This window comes from Homo sapiens, chromosome 5, assembly GCF_000001405.40.
Source record: "Homo sapiens chromosome 5, GRCh38.p14 Primary Assembly".
NCBI lineage: Eukaryota > Metazoa > Chordata > Mammalia > Primates > Hominidae > Homo > Homo sapiens.
Genome location: NC_000005.10, coordinates 108,312,199 through 108,337,861, shown reverse-complemented (window position 1 = coordinate 108,337,861; position 25,663 = coordinate 108,312,199). Strand labels below are relative to the sequence as shown.

General features: G+C 31.4%; 1 protein-coding gene across 11 annotated transcripts in view; it reads left to right on the top strand.

Annotated features, from left to right (window-relative positions):
- Positions 1-25,663, top strand: part of FBXL17 (F-box and leucine rich repeat protein 17) — a 523,064-nt gene that overhangs the window by 44,237 nt on the left and 453,164 nt on the right. The gene's annotated exons all lie outside the window — the stretch shown is intronic.

Genomic DNA, 25,663 nt, shown 5'->3' with positions numbered 1-25,663 from the left:
GATGTTTCTAAAGGTTGACTTTTGTTGGTCATATCTACAGTCCAGGAGTGCTCTTTCCAAAATACTATTTTTATCATTTAAGAAATATGTAGTGGCTCATTTCAAAGATTTCTTCAGTTACTAGTCTCTGTCTTATTACTTTTTTTTTTTTTTACTTTTTGTACTTGTCCTTTTATCACTCTTCTTCTTTCTTCCAGAATGTGTTCATTACTACCTTCAAGCTCAGCTGAATATTATTTTTCGCAAATACTCTTTGAGAATTACCTCACATTTTTTACTTTCCTGTATTCTGTCAGCTTCCTGTATTTAGTTAGTTCTTACTAATCCATTGATAATTTGTTGTAGGTTTGAGAGTTTTAGTTCGGTAATGTCTCCCAGTGTAACTCCTTGGAATAAGAATGAGATCGTTTGCATACACGTTAAAGAAACCTGTATATTCTTCAGTGTTTTGATTAAATGGATAGTTGTTAGAACTTCTTAAAAATAAAATTTTTTTCAGTGTATGAATTGTAAATTTTCTGAAAGGAACTGCCAGTGAAGATGAACCATTGATATACTTAAGTCCTTTTGCTTTAGTTCTGGGAAAATTCTTTTTTTTTTTTTTTTGAGATGGAGTCTCACTCTGTCACCCAGGCTGGAGTGCAGTGGCACGATCTTGGCTCATGGCAACCTTTGCCTCCCAGGTTCAAGCAATTGTCCTGCCTCAGCCTCCCAAGTAGCTGGGACTACAGGCGTGCACCACCACGCCCAGCTAATTTTTGTATTTTTAGTAGAGACAGGGTTTCACCATGTTGGCCAGGATGGTCTCGATCTCTTGACCTTGTGATCCACCTGCCTCGGCCTCCCAGAGTTCTGGGAGGCGTGAGCCACCTTGCCTGGCCAAAAATTCTCTTTGAGATAAGGAAGAAAGAGTTTCTTTTAAAATCACATTTTAAATGAGACAAGTCAGTAACTTTAAACATAACCATTTATACTTTAATATGTACATAAAAGTATAGCTTTTAGGACGTAAAATTCAATTTTTATTTACTGAATTGGTGAAATATACTTTATTCTATAGCAATATCAAGTGATTTTTCATTAACATTCATACAAGAAGAATGGCAATGATAGTTTGAAGAAGTAAAGTCCCAAATAAGTGTGTTCTTTTTAAGAATTAGGTAGATTTTAGAAAATGATTTCTTAAAAGTGGATTTTGAAACTTAATGTCTTTAAACATTTTTATTTACTGAGTTATTTTTATTATTTTATTACAAATTACTTATATATTTTATTACAGATTACCTGTTATATATTTTCATTCACATGGTTGTACATCTCATTGAAGATATTTGGTTTGTTTCAGTATTTCATCCTTCTGTTTCAGGCAATCTCTCAGGACTGCTAAGAAGTGTAGTCTCTTTTCTTTTGTCATACTTTAACTACTTGATTCTTGAAAAGATGAAAGTTAACTAGTTGCTTCTGTGGTTGAGTTTGTTCAGAAGAGCTTGACTTTATTGTTGCAATTAGAGGTAGATATTAAATATAATATTTGATAAATATTTGCTTCTTGGTACCAATAAAATGCATCAGGCAGATCTGGCATTAAATTTAGTTCAGAACACCGGCATTGCATGCTTTGAGAGTAATACACCACGCAGAGGTTACACTGGCAAGTGTTTTTTAAAAAATACTCTATATAAAATTTTTAGTTTTTAGTTTCTAGTTTCATAAATTCTTCCCGTATATTTTTTTCTTTAATATGTTCTAACAATTTTGTAGAATCAAAAATGGGAAAAGAATGTCCAAGAATAAGGATAGATATTTTGTTACAGTAATGCAGTTTGTTTTTTCATTTTCTTGGAGGATTAAGTGACATTTGGACAATTTGAGAGGGGAAAAAATTGGACAAGTGTTGGTTCTGCCAAACTATTGTTTATCCTTGGATTAAATTGTGTTTTTTTTTCCCCTCTAGAAGTAATATCTTTTTCTAGTATACCCATATGGCTTTCTGCTATAAAGTTAGTCCAAGTATATAAGAATAATCTTTTTTCATACATTAAAATATATTTAAAACAATCACATTTTTCTAATATACTTTATGTTATCATGTTTTTAGATTACAGTCAAAAACAGGGTTTTTTTAAGAATATAATTATGCTAATTGCTGATCAGTATAATAATAGGAGGAATTTCACATCTGATCTTCAATAGTGGTAAATCATTTTCAGTCTAGTGTGTGCATTTGCCTAGTGTCACAGGTTAATTCTTTAGACATGGGTACCTTCCCCCTTTCTGTTAAGGCATACCTTTCTCAGCTGTTGTAGAAATGAACTTCCAGTTATTGGAGTCAACTTGTAATCACCTTAGTGCTTACCCTCCATCTCTGAGCTTCTATATTAGTACATGTCTAAGGTTATTTGTTTGTATGCATTATAATGCTATATTTACATTAAATTTGCTTGTAACTTATAATCATGCAGTTTCCTCTTCTGGTCCTACTTTTCAAAATTTAAAAAAAAAACGTATTTTTTTTTTTTAAAGATACTGTCTTAACCTTAAAAGTCATACTATCCTCTAAGCCTGCTTTTTGGCAAATCTCCTTATTGCATGCCTGATAATGAGCCATATATTGTTGTGTGTTGGGGGGGGGTGGGGGAGTGGGAGAGTGAAAATATTTATATTCAAGAACTCAAAATGTTTTAATGATAGTTGAAAAATTATGAGTAAAATGATACCAAAATATTTGATCTGATTTTTCTAATTTCTAACATCTAAAAACTAGTACTATCAATGCCTTAAGAAAAAGGTTGTATATATTCACCACATTATTTAAACAAGACTAGTGGAATTTATTTTTGATTTTACCTTATTCTCACACCAATAGTGTAGAATTTGTAATTTAACAATTGAAATGATTACTTCTTGTAAATATGTACGTTGTTTTAGGGGACTTTTCCATTTTCAGACAGTGAATGGCAGTACCCACTAAGTCGTGGTCCGCGTAAGACTTCGGTGGTTTCATTTACTATTAACGTGCTCTTTGACAGCGGGCCTTTACTAATCTCACACCATGGGTTTGAAATTTTTTCCTTAAAGCTTTATAGTTGAATTACAATGTATTGTGTCCTTTGTTTTCTCCTGGAAAAGGATTTTAAACAAACTTTCTATTGCACTTGTTGAATATGTATTTTATAGTAACCACCATGAAGTTTGCAGCATTTAAGAAGATGAAGAAGCGAAAATAAAAGATACACATTCAAGAAGGCTTGGTTTCACAGTTGGTCATAATCCTTTCTGCTGTCATTGGTACCCTAACCCTCTACCTACCAGAACAAAAGAAACTGAATTGAAAATTGTGGGAGCTGGGGAACATTCTGTTGGCAGCACATCGCATGGCCCATAGGCGTTGTCAGGTCTCAGTTTGATGCCCTTTATTCTTTCTGACAGATGTGAGGTAGGGTCTATGAGGGGGAAGTCATTACTAGACAGAGGGCAGTGTCAGATCAAAAGTAACCAGTGATCAAACAAGGTAAAGGGCTGTGGAAAATAGGCTCTCTTTCTGGCCTCAACACCTGCCTGATCACTGAAGGGAATAGTCCTTATGTGTCAGGGCAAGTTGATTTTCTTTGATGTACAGTGAATTAGAAGTCAGAGTGGAAGCTTAACTGGAGCACAGAGATTTTCATTTCCTAGTTCTTGGGCAATTTAGGTGTTTATTTATTTTTTAACCTTAATTACCTAGAAATTCTGTTGAATAAAATATTAAAATGTACTCATTCTGACTTTGTTATCACTATATATTTGGAAATGCTACTAATAAGCAATTTCCAATAGCACTGTAGGTCAGGCTTTACAAGTCATCAAACTCTACATTTCTCAAGCTTCTAATTGTAACTTCAATTAGATCATTTGTAAAATATAATGGTGGATATAAAGTGCATAGTACTGAGCTTGGCACGTAGCAGGTCTCCTCATGGTAAAATTTGGGAAGTTACCTCACTAAGTAATTTTGAATAAATTTGAATTAACTCTTTGCACATAAATACTTATTACTATGTTTTCTTTTAAGATAACCCTTTCTAATCAAGTCAATTGAAAGAAAATTTAAAGAGACAATCTCATTGGGGTTTTTGTATGTATGGTTCTTTTTCCCTGCCCTTTCATCTTTAGAGTATGTGACTGAAGTCCAGAAGGATGATATTTTTGTCTTTTGTTAGCTTCCTGTGTTGATAAATTGAGAATTGACAGTTTCTAAAAATTTCAGTTATATTGTTTTTCTTTACATTAAGAGCAAAGATTTGACCACTACTAGATTTCAGTGTCTCAACCTTTGATATTTTAAATACTGCCACATTTTATTCAGGTTCATAAATAGTTAACAGTCATTTTGTCCTCAAAACTCTGGATGTAAGAGTTTTTTTGAAATTACTTGTTTTGTAGTCAGAGGAATAAAGAATCTTAGCACTTTAGCATTTTAAAAGTGATTTTTTAACGTAGTAATTTGTCTGTCCATCTTTGCATGAAGTCTCATGTTTGGTTTTGATACTCTCAGGTAACCTTACATCTTCTTCCTTTATATATTTGGAAATGTAAATATAAAACAATATATATTATGTTGCATTGTCTTCACATTAATATTTGTCTTATAGACTACTGTTAGCTATAAATATATTTTATGCTTGGGAAATTTCAGAATAATATGTTGAATATGTATATATATATATATATATACTGGTATTTCTGGTTTGACTTAAGCAAAATTTGCTTATAAATTATTGTATGTTTTGCTTCGGCTTTCATTTTAAGGTAGTTTGACTTAGAACTTCTTATATAAGATTTTATATCTATTTTTGAAGCTTTTTGAAAATTACAAGATCTTAATACAGATTCATTTCATAATCTTTAACTATAGACTCTTTTTTTTTTTTTTTTTTTTTTGCTTTTGCTTTTGCTTTTCATTGTTAACATGTTTGCCCTGGCCACTTGGCTCACGCCTGTAATCCCAGCACTTTGGGAGGCCGAGGCGGTGGATCACTTGAGGTCAGGAGTTCGAAACTAGCCTGGTCAAACATGGCGAAACTCCATCTCTACTAAAAATACAAGAATTAGCTGGACATGATGGTGCACAACCATAATCCCAGCTACTTGGGAGGCTGAGGCAGGAAGATTGCTTGAACCCAGGAAGTGGAGGTTGCAGTGAGCTGAGATCAAGCCGCTGCACTCCAGCCTGGTTGACAGAGCGAGACTCTGTCTCAGAAAAACCCAACAACAACAAAAAACAAAAAGTTTGTCCTGAACTACCTCTGACGGACAGTAACTTGAAACCAATATGATAGTATTACTCTGATTTAGGGAGAAGAATGATTTTTGTTTTGGTTTTCTCAGGTAATTCCTATAATCCTTCTTTTAATCTGAATATTTGTTTAAAAAGATTGGAGTTGTTGATGTTTTAATATTAATGTTAGGAGGAAGCATTTATAAAAAGTGAATTTCTGTAAGTAAATATAAATTATTTTTTTCAAAACGGACCTTGGCAACATAGAATTTTACTAGTTACAATCGTTGGTTCATGATATACTGTGGTAATTGGTCCAGGCATAATCTTATTTCATTATAAAAGTTAATTTATCAAAAAGCTTTTGAACATTTACTCAGGAACGCTCCATCCATACTATTAATTAGAATATTATCAATAACTTTCATCTACCTATGCATTCCTCCCTTCTCTCATCTTGACTCCCCTTCAAAGGTAACTGCTATCCTGAATTTTATGTTTATCATTCTTTCCATTTTGTTACATTTGTATATATGTCTGATCAGTACATTATTTAGTTTTTACTAGTTTTTAATCAAATAAGTTTCTAAGGAGGTCATTTTGATGAACTGGTTGATACTATTCGATTCTAACTTTTAAGATATTCTCTACTATATTTTCACATCAAATTATTTCAGATCTTTAGATTGAATATGTGGTATCTATATGTTGGTCCCTTGAATTTGCATTTTTCATTTATAAGTTATATTCATAAATATGGATAACGAGGTCTTTTTTTTCAGTTTTGATTTGTTGCAATTTTAGCAATTCCTGTGACTTGATATACGGGTTAGAAGAGTTACTCTGTTAGGTGACGGGTGTAGTTGGTCAGGAATGTCTAGCCATTTCCCAGTTTGGAATGGAAATAAGTGAATTTTTTGCTTACCAAATGACTTTTATGTTTTACTTATCAATGTGTAGTGTCATTAATAAGTTCAGCCATTGTAATTTTTCATAAGGATAAAATGATTGCACTAAATTTCTTTGATTGCTAGAAGTGCTATTGATTTAATAACAGCTTTAAAGGAGAAAAATGGAAAAACCACATTAAATATTCATGTTGATTTTAAGACTTGGATTTCAAAACTACCAATTTGTAAGAAACATTAGTCTTTCTTTTTCTGTAACAGCTTAGTTAATTGGTCAATAGCTTAGTATTTATCTCGTACACAGTTTTGGTGAAATCAAACCAAACAGAATATTTGCTTTCACTACAGATGGAGTTTTCTCCAGTTTCCATTTTTAACATGAAGTCTGTGTAAAATAAAAAATGTGTGCTCATATCTGCCTTCATACTAATGCAGTCCTTTGGAAATGTGGTTGGTTGTAACTAAGAATAGTCGGTACTTAGAATGGTTAATGATTTCTTGATATTGAGTGAACTAATTGATAAAATTTTGTTGGAGATCAAATTAGCACTTTTTAACATTGACAACAATAGATTTTTTCCTTTTGAACAAGTTATGATCAATTGTATTTATAAGGTTGTAGGATATAGAATACATTTTTTTTTGAGATGGAGTCTTGCTCTGTCGCCCAGGCTGTAGTGCAGTGGCGCAGTCTCGGCTCATTGCAGCCTCCGCCTCCTGGGTTCAAGCGACAGTCCTGCCTCAGCCTCCTGAGTAGCTGGGACTACAGGTGCCCGCCACCATGCCCAGCTAATTTTTTTTGTATTTTTAGTAGAGACGAGGTTTCATCAGGATATAGAATACATGTTTGTACCAGTCTCAATCTTTAGGAGATTGTCATCTAAGTGGAAAGCTCATGTGGGCATATGTATGTGTGTGCACGTGCAATGATGTGTGTGCATGTGTGATGATGTGTGTGCACGTGTGATGATGTGTGTGTACCTGTGATGATGATGTGTATGTGTGTATGTATAAAACAATATAAGGTGATAGTGTGAGTTTATTAGAAGGGGAGTTTTTTTTGTTCCCTTGGTACTTTATATTGCGACTATACTTCTTTGCTTTACGAAGTGTTCTAGGAAATCTATATTTGTTGATTTGTGTGTGTTCTTTAAAATATATCTTGGTGAGATTGCTTATGAATTATTAATAAAACAGTTGGCCTAGAAGGTTTTGGGTTGTAGTTTGAGAAGTTTCACATAATTAATTGCATTGAAGTTTATTCAGTGTTGTTTTAAACATATGAAGGACCTAAACAGTAATCCCTTGCATACTTTTTAAAACAATATCAAATAATTTTTTAAAGATAAAATGGTATAGCTGATTGGCTTTTCTCGATGTAGATCAGTCATTTGAATAATTTAATGGAAAAAAGTTATCACGTGGTTCATAGCAGTCATTTCTTTATGGTATTTGGGAGAAGAAACAGATTTGATAGTGGTGTGACATTATTTTATACCCTAGAAAACTATATTGAAAGCTAGGGCATACATGATTCTGTTGTTACAGGTAGTATGATTCTGGATCCATAAAGTAGTCTTTGGCTACTTCATGGTTATTAGCTATATGGTTCAGTTATTTTTTTGTAACCCCATAGCCTATTGTTCTCTCATGCATTAAGTATTTATTGAATACTAACCACATATGAAGCAGTATGATTCCAGACCCTTTTCCATAGGCCATGCTGGTCTACTGATTTTATAGTAACTTTTAACTAATAGGAGTAATTTCCTATTATGTTGTATTTACCTATCTAAGTGCTTGCTGGGGAAGACAGTAACACCTGGTATCAAAGCCACTGTTCCCGAGCCTGGACTGTTAACCTCTCATATATTGTATACTGTGTTTTAAGAGTAAGAATTTGAAAGGGATGTCACTTATGTAATACTTATTTTACTAATGATAACTTCTAAGTTATTTCATCTTCAAGTGAAATATTTTGAAGATTAAAGTTAAAGAAGCTATTTTATAGTATATAATGTGGTGTACTCATTACAATGACTTGTTCTGATAATTTTTTATAAAGGTATTTTGCTGTTAAAGACTTATTTCATTGAGCTATGGTAGTACTTGGGTAATGCATAGGTACCAGTACTTGAAGAATTAAATAAAGTGAATTGAGTTTTGGCATTATTCTATTGAGTTGATGTTTATTTATTGTTAAGGACATTGTCCACTGTATCCTATGAGTCCTCCCTTACGAGAACCTGCAGTTAAGTATTCCCCCTGGTCTTAATACTAGGGAAAGCTAGACTTTAAGCAGTTGTTTTCTTTTATTAAGATAATGCTGTGAATTTTATTAAAGAAGTATAGTTGTCCTTTTCCTCTTTGCTTTGACATCTAAGAAACCAAGAAACAAATGGTAGTCCATCTAAGGCAAAGTATTCAGGACTTCCATCTTTATTATAGAATAACTTTTTGGAAAATGCTTCTTTTTCCTTTTTCCTTAATTTTTATTTCTACTTGTGTTTCTCCTGTAGGGTTTATTTCCAGAAAGAGCTGCCTCAATTTCTTTTTGGAAAGAGACAAGATATACCTAAATATAAACAGAAGTTCTTACATAAGTATATTTTAACTTTAAAATACCTTCTTGTTTGCATAGGCAATTGTGGTATAATGAAAAGCACCTTGGAGCTTGAATTGGGAAGATCAAAGGATAGATAATTACCTCTGTCTCTTAGTTGAGTGACCCTTAGCAAGTGACTCTGAGGTGGTTTTCTCATTTATGGCATAAGAATAACATTATTACTTTAGGATTAAGTCAGGTATATGTAAAAGTGTTAGTCACATGTTAAATGATTAGTTAGAGTATCTCTTCAGTCAGTTACCTGTCAAAACTCTTGATAAATATTGAAAGCTATTCATAATTTAAAAGTATATACTTGGGTTGATTTTACAATATATTGAGATATATAAGAAAGAGGCCCAAATAATCCTTGTTCTCATAAAAAAAAGTGCATATTATAAAATTCTAATAATATAGAAAAGTAGAAAATAAAAACTGAAAGCCTCCTGCTAATTCCTCTGGTGATTATTTTCAGAAAACTTTTAATACACATACCAACATGCGTGTATCTGTCCCTATTTTCAAAAATTATATTGCATTTTCTCTTCTACAAGACTTCATTATTGATGGGTACTATGGCTCTTTTCATTTTTTCCCATCACAAACAATAGCCATAAATTTTGATGGTTTTCTATCAGAAGAATATATTTTCATATTCTCCTGCCCTTTTTATGTTATCTTGTTGATAATTTTGATGAAACCAAGAGGCACGTCTTTCTACATACTTCTCTTCATCTCCATTCCTAGTGTTTTTGTTTATTTTTTTTAAATAATGCCCATGTCTCCTGCTGTCATTCTCTGAGACCACCAAATAGTTTAATACCTGGAGTCAGAGATAAGAATAAACAGGCTTAAGATACTTTAAATAATGTTCAATACTATATACTTGGTCATATCATTAGTGAGCATATTTTTCTTTTGGGAAGTAACTAATGCTTTCCTTAAGGCCAGGCCAGACAAAGGGACACACAGTGACAAACTTCTTGGTGTTTATCCTCATCAAGTGGTTTGTGGGAAGATAGTTTTTGTGTCAGACAGATATAGATTCCAACACCAATATTAACCATTTTACAAATTGCAGGTTCCTTCTTAAGCATTTAAGCTCCTTGGATCTTGATTTTTTAAATGTATAGATTGGAGACGATATAATCTATTTTGTTGAGAAGATTAAATGAACTCTGTGTATGTGAACTGTCCAACAAAGCATCTTGGGAAATAGTTGTTCACAAATGTTAGCCTCCCTCTTGTTAACTTCCCAACTGCCGTTTTTCTTCTCTCTTCTTCATGACCAAAGGAAACCTGGAATTATTGCCAGAGCTTTGTTGGTAGTGAATGCTGTTCTTACTGAGAGCTTAGCAAGGGGAAAAAGTAACCAATGGTTGCTTTATGTATTTGAGGTTCAGTTAGCCTTTCATCTTGGGAATTTCTGGAAGAGTCATATTTAATCTTAGTGTTTGCTTGTTGTTTTCAAAACTCTGCCTACACTTGTTACATCTTTTATATTTTTTACTCCTAGTAACATATCCACAGTGGGTGTTCCAGTCCATTCATTTTTTTTGCCTTGGTGTCTATCATTTTCTTTGCCATGAATCTTCATTCTTTGCAGTTAAATCATCTTACTATTAAATGGCAAATATTGAAATCATTAAATATGAACTACATCATATAATCTGTAATTTTCTTATTGCAGAAAACTCAAGTCAGTTTGCTTAAACAATAAGAAGGTTACTGGCTTATAACTGAAATGTGCTGGGGTGTAGTTCAGGCTTTAGGGTTGAGTTAATTCATTGTCTCCACAGTACATTTAGGGAGCTAGTTCTTTTTGACTTTTGGCTTAGCTTTCTCTTATGTCAACCTTAGTCTAAGTCTGGATTTACTTCTGGATCAAAGATTGTTGACAACAATTCCTAGGTGAGTATTGTATGTATATCATAGTTTATTGCTTTTTTATTGCTGAATAGCATTCCATTGTAAGGACATAAAACAATGTGCTCATCCATTTACCTGTTAATGGACATTTCAGTTGTTTCCAGTTTTTAAGTATTTCATATAAAGCTGCTGTGAACATACATGAACCAGTCTTTGAATGGACAAAAGCTTTCATTTCTCTTGAATAAATTTTAAGGAATGAGTTGGCTGAGTTGTTTGGGAAGTGTATGTTTAACTTGAACTTTGTGAGAAATTATGAGTTTTGCAGGTGGTTGTGCCATTTTTTACTCCTGCTAGCAATGTTTGAGAACTCCATTTGGACTACTATGTCGCTACCAACAGGTGGTGTTATTTTTAGATTTTTAAATTTTAGCCATTCTGAGTGGGTGTGTAGTGGTACCTTATTGTGGTTTTGACTCTCAGTGAGTGTATGGTGGTACCTTATTTGGTTAGCCCTGTGTCTAATGATATTGAGTACCTTTTAACATATGTATTAGGCTTTCCTATCTCTTCTTTTGTAAAGTGTCTTTTCAAATCTTTTGCTTTTTTTTGGAGACAGAGTCTTGCTCTGTCGCTCTGTCACCCAGGCTGGAGTGCAGTGTCAGGTTCTTGGCTCACTACAACCTCCACCTCCCGAGTTTAAGCGATTCTCCTGCCTCAGCCTCCTGAGTAGCTGGGATTACAGGCGTGCACCACCATGCCCAGCTCATTTTTTTTTTAATTTTTATTTTTAGTAGAGACAGGGTTTCACCATATTGGCCAGGCTGGTCTTGAACTTCTTGCCTCAGGTTATCTGCCTGCCTTGGCCTCACAAAGTGCTGTGATTACAGATGTGAGCCACTGCGCCCAGCCAAATCTTCTGCCTATTTTTTTTTAATTGGTTGTCTTCTTACATGTTATAAGAGTTCTATATTTTTGATATAAGTTCTTGTGTCAGATGTATGCATTGTGATTACTTTTTCTACGTGTGTATCTTTTCGTTTTAATAGAGTCTTTTGAAGAGAGCAAGGTTTTTACTTTGATGAAGCTCAATTTATTAATGGTAAGGGCTTTTGGGTCTTGTCTAAAATCTTCTGATAGTATCAGTTGTTTTTCTCTGTTATTGTTTGTTTATCATGTTCCACCCTTAAAGTGTAAACTCAGTGGAAATGGGGAGATTATCTTCCTTGTTCCTTTCTATGTCCTCTGTCTAGAAGAGTGTTGGGCACATGGTAGTTGCTCAAAAGTAATTTTTGAATGAGTAGAGTCTTTTGGTTTTGTAGGCTAGAAAATGTTAGCTATTGCTTATGTCTTGTTCACTTCTATCCCCTGTATTTCACCTGTCATTATTACTGTCTTGTTTCCTTAGGTTGATTCCTTGCTTTTCTGTTTCTACTTCTGACTCTAATCCTAACGCTTTTATGTTTTTCTGAACTGCAATAGCATCTCCTTAGGCTTGTCAGATGCCACGACTTCTAGGTGTACCTATGATCCAATTCCAGACAAATAGGGTATTTACTGTTTTTCAATAACATTGCTTTCCTGCTTAAGAACTGATTTAAGCTCTATTATAGATGGTGAGGTGGGACCTGCTATGTTAATATTTCTTTTTCCCTTTCTTCTTATTTTTCACAGTTTCTACCTTTGTTTATACTTTTTCCTGAAAAAGTATCCCTTTTTCTCTTGCTAAAATAAATCCCACTTATTTTTCAAGTTTTCCATTTATTCTTAAGATCAAATTTTTGCCCAACTTACCTAGCTGAATATTTCACAGATACTATATTTTTGTGCCCTTAGAATTGTTTCCTCCTTGAGATAAGAATTCATGCATTCTACTTACTTGGTAAAGTTTTGAATACAAAGATAATACTTCTTGGTTGATCACTCTTTTCTTCCTTGACTGAATTTGATGGCGGTACGTGGCAAGTTTGTGCCTTTCTATCAGTTTTTTTATCTCTTAAATAAAAAAATAATTGTGGTAAAATATATATAACATAAAATTTACCATCTTACCCATTTTTAAGTATTCAGTTTAGTGACGGTGAGTACATTCACAGTGTTGTGTAACCAGTCTCCAAAACTCTCGTTATCTTGCAAAACTGAACTTTATACCCATTAAACAACAATACACTGCTTTTCCTCCAGCTCCTGAAAACCACCATTCTACTTTGTGTCTTTGTGACTTTGACTCCTCTAGGTACCTATTTTCTGCCTTTCTGACTTTGATTCCTCTAGGTACCTCTTCTAGGTACCTTAATTTCTTTTTCAGATTATTCATTATAATCACACAGCATTGCCTTTTCATGACTGGCTTACTTCATTTAGCTTAATGCCCTCAAGATTCATCTATGTTGTAGCATGTGTTAGAATTTTCCTCCTTCTATAGGCTGAGTAATATTACATTGTGTATGTGTGTACATGTGCATGCACACACACACACACATATATATACATATACACACCACCTTTTGTTTATCCATTCATCTATTGATAGACAGTTGGGTTGCTTCCACTTCTTGGCTATTATAAGTAACGCTATGAACATAGGTATACAAAAATGTCTTTGAGACCCTTCTTTCAGTTCTTTGGGGTATATATCCAGAAGTAAAATTACTGGATCTTAATATAATTCTATTTTTAATATTTTTAGGAGCTGCCATACTGTTTTACATAGTGGTCGCACCATTTTACATTTCACCCAACAGTGCCCAAGGATTCTAATTTCTCCACATCCTTGCTGACACTTGTTATTTTCTGTTTGTTTATTTATTTATTTTTATAGTAGACATCTTAATGGATGTGAGGTTATATTTCTTTGTTTTGATTTGCATCTCCCTAATGATTCATGTCGCTAAGCATGTTTTCATGTGCTTTTCTTGGCCATTTACGTATCTTTGGATAAATGTCTCTTCTAATACATTACTCATTTTAAAATTGGGTTATTTCATTGTTGAGTTGTAGGAGTTCTTTGTGTATGTTTCAGATATTAACTCCTTATCAAATAATGATTTGCAAATATTTTATCCCATTCCATAGGTTTCCTTGTCTTTCTGTTGTGTCCTATACTGCACAGAAATTATTAAAATTTTTATGTATTTTAACATACATTTTTACTTTTGTTGCCTGTGCTTTTGGTGTCAAAACTTAGAAATATTGCCAAATTCAACGTTGTAAAGCTTTTATCCTACCTTTCCTTCTAAGAGTTTTATAGTTTTAATTCATATGTTTTAGGTCTTCCGTTCATTTTTAGGTAATTTTTAACATATGGATCAAGGTAAAGGTCCAACTTCATTCATTTGCATGTAGATATCCAGTTTCCCAGCACCATTTGTTGAAAAGGCTGCCCTTTCCCCACTGAATAGTGCCGGCACCCTTGTAGGAAATAATTTGACTTTTTATGCAAGAATTTGTTTCTAGATTGTTTCATTTGGTCTATGTCTGTCTTTTTGCCAGCACTACGCTTTTTGTATTACTGTAGCTTTGTGATAAGTTTTGGAATCAGGAAGTGTGGGACTCCCAGTGGATTCTTCTTTTTCAAGATTGTTTTGGCTATTTGTGGTCCTTAGATTCCATATGAGTTTTAGGATGAGTTTTTCTTTTTCTGCAAAAAATGCCCTTCAGATTTTGATAGGGATTGTATTGAACCTGTATATTGCAATGAGTAGTATAGACATTTTAACAATATTAAGTATTCCAATTCATTAAAACGGGATTTCTTTCCATCTATTTGTGTCTTTAATTTCTTTCAGTGATATTTTGTAATTTTCAGTGTATAAGTCTTTTGCCTCCTTTAAGTTTATTCCTAAGAATTTTACCCCTTTTGATGCTACTGTAAATTGAATAGTTCTCTTAATTTCTTTTTCAGATTGTTCCTTATAAGTGTTTAGAAATGCACCTGATTTTTTATGTTTTTTTTTTATTCTACAACTTTGCTGAAGTCATTTATTATAATAGTTCTTTTGTATGTGGAACCTTTAGGGTCTTCTATTTACAATATCATGTCATCTGTGAACAGAGATAATTTTGTCTCTTCCTTTCTAATTTAGATGTCTTTCCTTTCTTTTTTTCCCCTCTAATTTCTCTGGTTATAACTTTCAGTACTATGTTAAGTAGAAGTGGCATAAATGGGCATCATGTCTTGTTTCTGTTATTAGAGGTAAAGCTTTTAGTCTTTCACCATTGAATATGTTATTAGCTGTGGGACCTTTCTGTCAGTTTTTGTTGAGCACTGTTGGTCACATCCAATGTACACATTATACATTTTCTAGCTATAAACCGAACATGTTATATTGACATTTAATAAGATTTTGGAGCTCGATCTTTTTTTCCAGGAGTCTTGCATACAGTAAGTTCTCAAATAACATTTTCAGTGACTGTACAGACCTTGATGTACAGTATAGACAGGCCTTGATATTACCTCAGCACCCTGTTTGGAAACATCTATTAAATTATTGATGGAAATTTAATAGATGATTTGAGAGATCTAGAGTAATAGTTTACCTCTAATATCTGGCAAAGTCAATATTTATTATTATTTGTAGAAAGCGTTGTGGTTCAAAAATGTAATTATTTTCAAAAATACAAACCAGGAAGTCTTGCTCCCATCAATCACCATCTTCTCCACTGCTCTCTATGTATAATTAGTGTTTATGAAAATATGAAAAAAATTCTTATATTATTCTTTTCTTATACAAAGAGTAGCTAGTATTTACACAAAGAACAGGATGATATTTACATAAAAGTTAGATTAGTATGTACATCACACTTTTTTCCCCCGCACTTAACAGGTCTTTCATAATTGGTTCATAAGATTGTTCCCTTTTTTTCTCCTCTGAAAGTGTTGTCTAGAATTGGGAGGTAGCTTAATTCTTTCAATCAGTAGCCAGTTGATTGCTAGACACTTAGGATATGCCACTGTTTTGCAATTAAATAAATTATGTCATTTATAAATATACTGTACAAATTTAGGTGTATTTGTAGGAGACAGTCTCAGGATGGGATTGCTGAGTCAGAGTGTACAGGCCCCTGTGATTTTCGTAGATATTGCCAGATTGCCTTCCTTAGAGATTATGCCATTTTGCATTCCTATATGCAGTGGATTGAGAGTGCTTGTTTCCCACACTCTTGCCAGTGGTGTGTTGTTAAGCTATTCAATTTTTTGCCATTTTGACAGTCAAGAAGTGGTATCTGAGTTGGTTTTAATTTGCGTTTCTCTTATTATGAATCTGTTTGGGAATGGTATGTTTAAAAACCGTTTGGGTTTCTTTTTCTGTAACTGTGTCCTTGGCTCATTTTTCTACTGAGTTGCTAATCTTTTTCTTCTACCTTCCTAGGCACTTTTTATAAATTAAAGATATTAGTTCTTCATATGTGATTGGAGTTATAATTTTTTTTCTTGTTTGTCATTTAGTTTTAGGCTTTGCCTACATAGCATTTTTGACATGCAGAAGTTTTTTCTTGTTTTTTTTTTTAAATTTATTTACATTTACCACTTTTTTGTTTTTTGGCTTCTGAGTTTTGAGTTATAGTTAGAAAGTCAAAACAGCACTTTTTGAATGGAATGGAATATCCACAGGTAATAGAGCAGTAGCAATGTAAATTTCACAATATGGCATGTGTCCAGGGACATTGGAGCATGTTCAGGACAATAGTGTGCAGATTCTTTAAGAGAATAGCATTCTATGCCAGTCTACTGTTCTATAAATCAGTGGCCATTTTTTTTCATGTGAAACAGTATGGAAAGATCTTCTGGCCATTTTTTCATACCTGCACAAATAAAAGACATGTACTTGATTTGGTCAGTACTTGGAAAGAAGTCGTTTTCTCTACTCTTCTGACCTCAAAGAAGCAGCAGAATAAATATTTTAGAGTTGTGAATTTACCTCTACCCATAGACACTTTGATACTCAGTTTCTTCCAATTCAATATTGTAATATTATTATATACTCAGTAATTAAGGATGTTAAATGTGAACATTTGCTTGGATTTGAACATACTACAGCAATAAGTGCATGTGTGACATATAATAGGTAATAGTAGTAATAATTTCTTACGAGCATCAGCAGTTATATTGGATGTGAAAATTATCAGAAAAAAATAATTTCTTATAAGCATCTATGGTTAGGCAACATGAAGATTGCTGTTACTAAATATATTGTGGAATACATACTCTTAGAGCACCTCTCCTAGGTGTACTAGTTGGTAATTATTTATTTAACTTCGGATATTTGGCATAAAGTTTGGTTCGCAGATAGGCATTAAACGTGCTTTTTCTTTAAACAAATTTGCGTGATTTTTCCAATTAAAATCAGCATTATCTATAAATTGTTACAAAGCGAATTTGTTTTAAGAAAACCCTGTTCGAAGATAACCTACTTAAATATGATAATATGCTGAAAATGAAGTTTTTAGAGGCTTACAGAATTACTTTGGTTATTTTCTTAATTGTAAAAATGAGGGTTTTTGTTCTTAACAAATCTAGCAATTACGTATTTAGTAACTGATATCTAATTGGAGCAAACATTGTGGGAAGTAGAAAACAGAGTTGAGCCTTCCCTCAGATTTAAATGTTTAAATAAAATGTAAAATTCTCAAAACATTTAAAGTCCTAACTTGTAAAAATTTCATTTAAAACATTTTCATGTTAAATAGACTTGTAAAAGGGATTGAATTATTATAGTCCAATTTTTTTAGTTCTCTTTTCTAGACAGAAGAGACCAAAAAAAAATTTTTTTTTGGATGCTTTCCAAGAGCTGTATGTATTTGCTTGAGAAGTTACAATCACTTGATTCAAGTCTGAGTTTTATTGGACAGGCTTGTCTGGTGGGTTAAAATCCCCTCATGCTCTCCCAGATGATTACTGGCTTGTTTTTCTTCCCTTAAAAATAGTAAGAATTTATTTTTTTATAGCTATACCAGACCTAGTGACATAGGCCACTTTGGGTCTGTATGCTGCTGGCTTAAAGAAAGAATGAAATATGAAAAGACAAAAACAAAGAAGGGCGTAAAAGAAAAGGTAAGGAAAGGAACAAAGCTAAAGGTAAAAGAAAAGGAAAACATGATAATTTTAGAGTGGTGAAATAATTTCTAGCTAGCAAGGAGAGAGAAGTTTGTAATGCTAAATGTTCTAAAGGAGGACCTCATCATCTTAGAAAATGTTTTTTGAGGTAAGAGAATAGATTTGTTTAAAATTTCAAAATTGAGTAATTTTTCATGATGTGTAAGTAATATTCGAGGCAAGTAGTCATTTCGGGACCCTAGTAAACAGTTTCACCTCATATTTTGATAAGTTTATTTTTCACTGCACACTTCTCAAATACACATATTTGAGAAAAAAGATTGCTGCTGACTTTTTGGTGGTATCTAGCCTGAATTATAGAGGTAATTATCCTAGTTTTTATAGTAATATTAATAGAAGTTATATAGTTAAAAATAAATTGTTAAATTGAAAAAGTGAAAGTTATCAAAAATGTCATTTTATTTTTTTCTGAGAGATAATTTTCTCCAGTTAAAATAATAACTTTTAGATTTTTGTTCATTTAAAATAAACGATTCCTAGGGTTACATATAATTATTTTCAAAATTAGTTTGTGTTTATTCAAAAATAAAATTTTTAAATTATCTTGAAAGTAGTATTTTAACTGATAGGAAAATATTAAAATCTTCATATTATTTCAAATGTTTTATAAAGTAAATTCTGTTGAAAAATATTGTTTTTTTGTTAATGCATTTGCATTACAGTGCATAGTTAAAATTCATTAGGTATAACCTCTCCCTAATGATAGTTACTTGTCCCAACCAAATTACAAATGCTTTAATTCAAGAAATAAGATATTTAACTTTTGCTGTAGTTGTAATGCCACACAGATAATTTTCACATCCAGAAAAATTTCAGATGGTACATAATTAATGCTGTTTTAATGGGAATGACTTGGTATTTTGCTTTTCTCTCATGTTAATTTTCCCATTCTGCACTGGAATGATCAGTTTCAAGAACTAGATTTCTTCTATAATTTTAACACTATTACACAGAAGATAAATAAGTTTAAGTGGAATGGCTTATTTAAAATAATTTTGTTGTCATTGCCTGTTTGGGTAGAATAAAACAATTGGAAGGCAGTGCCGTGTGTCCTCACCTTGTGTCTTTCAGGGGAGTAGACAAAGCAGAATGCTCCATGTGTGAACTCAGTCATAGTCAGTCATGGTTGGGTTTGGCCTTGATTTGGGATGTGTTATGACTTATTTTTTTAAATCAATATTTCATTTTCACTATGATTTTTAAAACTGTAAAGTTAACAGAGCTTTTAAAATATTGATTGCAGTTATCCCTTTATAAATATAATAGAGGCTAGGCAGTTGTTTTCATAACCATCACTTGTTTGACTTATAATTTTTAATACCATAGATGGAAATATTAAACATTTCACTATCTGAGAGCATCATATTGTGTCATTACATGCTGTTAATTCTAGGTACTCAAATTCTGGCTCTTAATCCTGTAAAATTAGGCTAGTTTTCTGTTTCCTATTTATGATTGCACGGAGTGCCAGAAATGCTTAATGAAATACAGTTTTGATGAGAGAGAATCAAAATATATCCCATATTTGAAATTATATACAAATAGTGAAAGATATTAAATGCTATTAGCCTTTAAAACTAGTTTTCACTTCCCTCTCAAAATTTCAAGGATTTTATGTATATTGGTTGTTGAGGAACTTTTTTTTCCTGTATACATGTTTTTTAACAGTATTGGATTATTTGGGATTTATTTGGAAATCAAAATAGAAATAATTATAAATATAGTAACATATAGCACAGTGTAAAGTATGTAATAGGAGGTCAGTAAATACTTATCTGTGTATCTTACTGATTGTTTTGCTGAAGACATAGCAAAGGTAAAAAACAAATGCATAAGGCACTAAGTTACTGGGTGTATTATTGTTCTGTTACTGAGTACAGTATGCTGGGTATAGCTCATTACTAATTTGTTGATAAACTGGCTGTCGATGATTAAGAATACAAGGCATCTTTGTTGTGCACATGGGTTTTTTTCTCCTTTTATATTAGGAAACATAATGTTGATTTCTTTGGAAGGAAAAATGTTTATAGTTTTTTTTAGCTATCAGCGTATTATTTTACATTAAATACAGGCATTGGAATATTTTTGTGATCTGTTTCATAAAAGTCATTTTGGGCCAGAACTGTATATAATTTTGTAATTATTTAATTATCTGTAAAGCTTTTATGTTAGCAAATATGAATTCTAATAAAAATAGTAGCTTCATTTGATTATTTATTTGCAGATACATAGTGAATGATTGATTCATTATGTATGATTTTAAATCCTTTTGCATTTACATTAATACTTTTACACTAAAGAATACTGTTCCATTTGACTGCAGAAATTCTATGTAGGTCTTGGGATAGATATTTAATCATATTGTTTTAAGATAATATTTGTAATATGGCTATACTTAGGTTATGCTTATTGGTATAACTTTTTCATGAATTTGGCATATTAAGATGTTTGAAATTTTTTTTTATTGTACTTACGTAGTTAACCTTTAGTGTATTATATCCTAATTTTTATACCATAACAGAGTATTTTTAGCAGATTATTAATTTATACAAAAATAGTGATAATTAATAATACTATTTTTAAAAATCTCCAAAAATTTTTCAGTCGATGTATAGTAGTTGTACATATTTTTCAGGTACATGTGGTTTTTTTGATACCTGCATGCAATGTGTAATGATCAAATCAGGGTAGTTGGGATATGCATCCCCTCAAACTTTTGTCTTTTCTTTGTGTTGGGACTATTACAGATCTTTTCTAGTTAAAAAAAAAAACAAAAAACAAAAAACAAAACTCAGTAATTTATTGTAACTTTTAATAAAGTGTTCTTTATGTTAGAAATTAAAAAGTTATGAGGAAGATTTTATGTATATGACATTAACAAATGAATATATATGGGTTTGATTTTGGGGGAACCGATTTGTTAACTTTACATGTTTTATAAAACCTTGTAGTGGAAAACATAATACAGAAGAAAGCTAAGATTTAGCTTTGCATCTCTTCTCCTTAATTAGTACCTGTTGGGATTTGATAGTGGTATAACTCAGAACTAGAAATTGAGACCTTTATGTACAGTTTTTACATGAATAGACTTTGAAATTATTATAAATAACTTTAAATGTGATAAATATACAGATTGATAAATACACAGTTAATTGTATAAAAAGGTATAGTAGATAATATTTTATTGGTTCGATGTTAAAACTTATATTTCATGTAATTAACTGGATGTATAATAACTTACAAAGTTTCCAGTTGTTTAATACTTTGATGTGATTTAGTGATTACTGATCTCTAAAAAAAAATCAACAGTATAATTTCCCATATATATTATTTATTTTAAGGTTTATTTTAGTATGCTGTTATCTGGTTCATGACTTGCTTATTGTTTTTAGAACATTATTATACTGTTTAAAAATGACTATTTCATAAGGCTAAAACTATATTGAATCTAGTTAGTATAATAATGAATAGACATCGTTAAAAAAAGGAAATAAGTTTTGTCTTCTGAATTTAAAAATGCTCTTCAGTGTTTTGATATTTTAATGTTAAAAATTTTAGAGTTCATGTTTGAAGATAGCTATTATTTATATGATATACTTTTGAGTGCCTGCCGTGTTAAGGTTCTGTACAATGTTGGCTAGCACTTGTGTTTTAAAAGAGGATTTTATTAATCATAAATTAAGTGTCTTTTAGGTTTAATATTTAATCTAGAACAGAAGTAATTTATAGTTGTAGGAGTAATTTCATAAGAACTTAGAATTTAAAATTGATATTGCCGTATAAAAATGGTTTATAGTTCACATTGAATTCTTCCATTGTTGATCTTTTAAAGATATATTTGTCTAGCAAAGTATTTTAATAACAGTTTGTCACTGTTTTTTTTTCTCCTTTGAAGTTTTAGAGGGTCATGCAAGCAAGCATGGATTCTACTAAAAGTCTTAATCTTTCTTAAGGGTAGAGTTTTATTAGATTTCATAATATACAGTTTTTCATGTATCATAATACATACTGTTCAGGATACTTCTGTGTGGGCCTCATTCAAAGAGATTTTATTACTGAAGACCTTTGTTTAATAGATGTCAGGAGATAGCCTCATCATCAAGGTATGTGCATTTGCAGGGCAGCATTTTAGTCAGACTCCAATTATGTTTTGTGCCCATTTTGGAATGTCTAAAAATGATAGCTGTTTACATAGAGGGTTTATTTTATGCATCAAAGATGATTTTTCTTAACATTATCAGTTCTGAAGTATTTTATAGACTTATGACATGTTAATTGGTCTTTAAATATTTTATGTATTTTAAATGATTGAAAAAATTAGATTTATATCCTAATTGAATTATTAAATGATTTTGATTAGCAAGCCTAATTTCAGTTGTTTTGTTTGGGAATTCTTTGTGTTTTTATGAGAGACTATGGTGCTGAAGTTAAATAAGCATATGGTTGATGCTTTGTTGCTTAAAGGATTTTTTTTCTCTCTTTTTTTTTAACAAGGTTCATTTTTTTGGAAGAGAATAAATTCTCTTGGTTGTATTATAATTAGAAATAACAGTGACAGAAATATATTATCAGATTGGGTTAAAATTATAAAGCTTGGGGTAATTTTTAATGTGTTACTTTATTGACACAAATATTTTGAAATATAATGTAATTATTTACTCTTTAATAAATAATGTATTGATTGCACTTTCACTAAATTTATCCGTAAATTACACATTTTCATCTTGTCGCTTAAAAGCACAAAATATTAAATTATAAATGGAAGAATCTTGATGATGTTACTATTTGTATGTTAAATAACTCAGAAAAAGTAAAACAGAATATGTTACTAAAGCTGATTTTCTTTCCATCTTCTTCTCTGGATTTCATAGATCTAATAGATTTTAAAAAGATAAATGAGAATTCCTTTTTTGATTTTTTAAATTACCTTTTTACTTCAGTAATAAAGTGACCAAATTTATATGTTTTTTCCTGAGTTTTGATTGTCTTTATTTTCTAATGAGGTTGTACTTTTTTAAACTCTGGTAATTTATTCTAAAAATGATTAATCTATCATTCTTGATTGATTTTTAGAAGACAGTTCTCATAGTGAAAATAATGGTGTTTGTTGTTTAGAATTTACATAAAATTGTAAATAAAAATGGAAAAAAATTTTAAATTTGAAAATAAGACAATAAATGATCTTTAATAATACAACAGACATAAAACTTACCTACTAAATTAGTATTATGATACCTGTCTTAACCTAGTCTGCAGTGTTTTGTAGGACTAAAATAAGACTATAGATTTTGAAGTAATTTATAAATTATAAAATGTTATATAAACATAGGATAGTAGTAGTATAAATCTTAGGACTTTAATAACTTTCTTGCCTGATTTTAAAATAATGAAATGAAATAAATTCATCATCACTCTTAGAAGTAGTAATTTCAGACACTTTGATTTTTTTTTCTGGTTGTTCTTATTTTTTTGGCCTAATTTCTAGGTAGTACAGACTAACTTTTGAACGCAGTATTAATCTGAATTAAATTTATAACATGGAAGAAGAAATATTCAGGCTAAATACAAAATTTAGAGTTAAAGTGAATAAAGGCATTTGGAACACAGCATATGGCAACCATATGAATGAAATGTTAAGTTATAAATTATTTCTCTTATTGTACTTGTTTTCTAAACTGACTTATGGGATAGTCTTAGGAATTTTATGTTTTCACAGAATTACTTTTTTCTTATATATCTAGTCTTTGTAAATATAATTTAAAGACTTTTTGATTATGCCATTTCAATATTGGCCAACAATGTGAAGACCATGATTGTTTTTAAGAGCGTATTTCAGTTGCTAGATGCCTTTTTTTCTTTTATCACAGTTCAAGAGAAAATATATTCAGAAGAATGTGAAAATATGTTAGCATTTAAGGCTCCATGATTGCTTATTAAATATTGGTAGTATTAAAATGTTTTAAATATGATCTTTCTTGCAGATTTGAGTTTAAATTTTGTTTAATTTTGAAGTAATAGAAAATAGAAATGTTGCAAAAATAGCACAAAGAACTCCTATTTACCTTTTACCCAGATTTAATAATGTTTAACATTTTGCCACCAAATATAATATCTCCCATCATCTTCAATTTTTATCATGAAAGTCTACATTTTTCTGTATGGTAACTAAAGATTCATATTAGTAAGAATTTTATTTTTAGATTTGTTTTATCAGGTTCTTTCTTTTTGCCATGTAAACCTTATATAGTAAAATAAATAGAATACTGTATTAATTGTTCAAAAATGTTTTTTAGATATGCTTTGGGACTAGAACTGATGTGCATTAAATGACTACAACGTACAGATATTTTCCTTCTTTCATATATGTGGTACTCCTTGTCACTCAGGCTGTTGAATGAAACAGTAATCCATATCTTAATAATGGGTTGAAGAATAATAGACAATAGAATATCATAATATATAAATGTAAATAATTGAAAGAAAAATCTTTAAACCTGGTACCAGCCTGTGATAATTCTTCTTTTGCCACTATCCAACTCTTACTGAAATGTTAATGAGAATAGTTTAATATAGCTACTAAGGGCATATTTTACAGTTGTTGGCTTGCTGTAAATGAATGACAGAACTAGGTCTGTCTGTTTTAATTCTTCCCTCACCAACACAGTGGTGGACTTCTTACATGGCAGAAGGTAGAGATGAAATTAAATGGCCTTAAGTGTCTGCTTTTTGAAGACAGCTTGGGCTGTTGTTTTAAAATTGAAGTCTGCTCCTAGAGGATGTTTATCCAATCCAGGTGTCCAAGGTTGGATGTAACTATAAGTGGTAGATAGGCTTCTTCCAGAGAAGTTGTGATCACTGGTACTTCTCTGAATAGAATGGATTGTCTGTACTTCAATATGGTTGGAAAGGTCATTCATCAGGTAGAAACCTGTATTAGATGAATCTCTACTTTATCATCTCTTCTTATAAGTATGTTATTTCTTCGATGGCTAAGCAGTAAAGATGACCCAAGAGCAGAAGTTAGAAGGAGAAATAAAAGCTGCTTGAACATTGGACAGTCAGATTTTTAGTAACTAACATTTGATTATTTGTGAAATTATTTCCCTTTATTTAAAAACATGATGGTAATTATCAGTTGGAATTTGTAATTGATTAAATTCATTTTATTTCATATGAATAACTTCAGTCTAACCTAAAAATAGGAAGTCAGAGTCTCTGTTATTAGCTTATCATATTTTAACTGCTGAAATGATTATGCTGATAACTTAGAAATTATCGGTATTGGAGTAATTTAATTAGAGGGCCTGGAAGAAATATATACATTTGTGAATATGTTACATAGAATAACTAAATTGGCCCTATGGACAATAATAGAGTGAGACTCATTTCTTTGTATGTCCTTAAAGTAATGAAAAATTTACATAGTTGTGTTTTTAAGGGTGGAAATTTTATTTTTACTATAGTATTACCTTGTCTTGGAAGTAACATTTAAAATTAGAATAGCAGGGTTTTTTTTTTCCTTTGGTTTTAAGGTGCTTTTCAAGTGTAACTTAGGTTTATAAAAGTTTTTTTACTCATACTTTGGCATCTGGGCAGTGTCATAACATGTGTGGCTGCTTAAATAGAAGATATGTGTGAAATTACTCTCCCTACTATTGGGGCTGCCTTCCAGCAATGGCTTGGACTGCTACAGTCAAGCAATCTGCTACTCAGGATATGTAAGTTTAGAAAAAAGAGATTCATTTTTTTTTAACAGAGAAAGGAAATTGCTTTCTACATGGAAATTAGAAGTATAGGGTAGTTCATGAAATACAAATGAGCAACATTCTACGAGTTAATTTTTTAAAAATTGTGTTTTTTATGGGAGTTGAGAGAGACTAGGGATGCTTATTCTTTCTAGGAATGTT